Source organism: Homo sapiens, chromosome 1, assembly GCF_000001405.40.
Source record: "Homo sapiens chromosome 1, GRCh38.p14 Primary Assembly".
NCBI classification, from domain to species: domain Eukaryota; kingdom Metazoa; phylum Chordata; class Mammalia; order Primates; family Hominidae; genus Homo; species Homo sapiens.
In genome coordinates, this window is record NC_000001.11 from 69409031 (window position 1) to 69411111 (window position 2081).

Consider the following 2081-nt stretch of genomic DNA (forward strand, 5'->3'; position numbering starts at 1 on the left):
CATTTCTACTAAATGGGGTGGTGTATGCCTGTAATCCAAGCTACTCAGCAGGCTGAGGCAAGGGAATCACCTGAATCCAGGAGGGAGGCCAAGAGGGTGCTGAGGGTGGCTCAGCACAGGCCTGCAGGTACCTCTCAGCATGAACAGCCTGGGTGCCATGAACAGTGGTAGGAGTCAAGAGCCTGGGTGCCATGAACAGTGGCAGGAGCCTGGACAGAAAGGAGAAGGTCTCCAGTGAAACTCCACCTTCAAGCCAGGGATGGCCTGAAGCTTGGGGGCTGGGCTGCCAGTTCTGTGGACTGGAGTGAGCACTTATCATGTTTTTTCTGGCCCTGCCCTTGGCCGCCTATGGACCAATCAGCACACATTTCCTCCCCTCTGAAGCCCATACAAACCCTGAACTCAGCCAGACTCAGGCAGATATTGGGATGACCTGCCTGTGGAAAGAAGCTAACCACTTTGGGTCACTTGAGAGCTTCTCCATCGCTCAGTGAATCTCCTCTCTTCCTTGCACACCCTCCAGTTGTCTGCATTCCTCATTGTTCTTAGATGCAGGACAAGAACTTGAGAGCTGCTGAATGGTGGGACTGAAAGAGCTGTAACACAAACGGGGCTGAAACATGCCCCCACTTGCCATGTTTCAGGCAATAAGAAGGAAAGAACTGTGGCCCTTTGGGGATCCCAAACCTAGGGGCTCCCTGAACCAGGGCTGTGACACCCTCTTTGGGGTTCTATGGTTCCTGGCATCTCCAAGCTTCTAGGTACCAAAGCATTCCCCGGTGCCTGCAGTGGAAGGCACTTGCAGTACACTTGATCCAGCCACAGCCTTGGATGGAGCTAGCACCTGTGCTGGAGCCTGCAGCTGCTCACCCCTCTGCAGCCAGCACACCTGGCTGTGCACAGTGTCTGGACCCCATGCTTGCTCACCCACCCCTCACTTCTCTGCACCTGGCCCACCCTGGCAGGCATGGGATCCAGGCCAGTAGTGCTCCCAGGGGAAGCCTGCCAGGCCAAGTGGGCAGAATGAGACCAGTGGGCTCAAGCAAAACTTGGGTAAAGGTGCCACCTTTCACAGATTTCTGGCTGGAAAAGTTACACACTACAGATCCTATGACACTACCAGTTGGTATGCTCAGCCATGGGTGGGGTGGCTGTTCTGTGGTCCTGAGCCAGGGGCTCTGTTTGGTGAAGAGTGTGGGGTAGGGCCTGGGAAGAGAGACTTGGCTCCCCTCCATCTGGTGGCTGCAGTGTGCTGGAGTTGCCAGCACAGCCACCAGGCCCTTTGTTCCTTCCCCAGCCCGAGGGCAGTTAGGGCAGTACCACTTCAGCTAAAGTGATGGAGGGACTGTGGATTGTCTCTGGGATTTCCTCCAGAGAGAAAAGCAGAGCTGCCACCCACTGAAGTTTTCAGACAGAGGCAGCGTAGTTGTGCTGGAGTCTAGGTCAGAAGGCCCCACTAAGTGAGGAGAAGCAGGGAAGGGAACTATGTGGAAAACAGTCTGGCCACTTTTCCATGAGGTGGCTTCACTGTGCTGGAGTTCCGTGGCAGTCCCTAATCACCATGCACCATCCAGAGCCTGAGGGCAACAGGGTGAGGGCTGTGGGGCAGCAAAGCTCGTGGCCAGCCTCTATCTCTGGAAGCTCCATCCCAGGGAAGTACAGAGATGCTACTGGTCTGAGAGCCTAGGCAGTTTTGGTGTGGCCATGCTAGAGTCCCAGGCCAGTGGGATTTTTCCTGCGAGGTGCATTGGAGGCAAGGCTTGCAGTCTGTCCCTGCTCAGATCCATAGTTCTTGTCCCCTTCCTGGGAGCATGCAAGGGAGCCTGACCTCCCTGTTGCCAGACCTGCAGCTGTGAATGCCAGGATGCCCAGGGATTCAAGGCTCCCAGGACTCTGGGTGTACATGAGCGGAAGCCAGACTCCACAAAGCTCTCCATGTTAGTCTGGAGGCCTCAGTTGTTGGGGGTAATAGCAGATCTCCTGAGCCCAGAGTTGCAAAGGTCCATGGCAGAAGTGTGGGCTCCTGGGGATTCTCACTCACTCACCATTTCCCTGCAGTGTGAGGTCTCTCCTGGCTCCAT

At 55.8% G+C, this 2081-nt stretch overlaps 1 annotated feature.

The window, feature by feature from the left end:
* Positions 942 to 1441: an enhancer, noted in NCBI's record as "H3K4me1 hESC enhancer chr1:69875655-69876154 (GRCh37/hg19 assembly coordinates)". NCBI's record gives its function as "activates a minimal SCP1, AML or CMV promoter by ChIP-STARR-seq in primed H9 embryonic stem cells {active_cell/tissue: H9 hESC(primed)}" and the evidence as "EXISTENCE:reporter gene assay evidence [ECO:0000049][PMID:30033119]".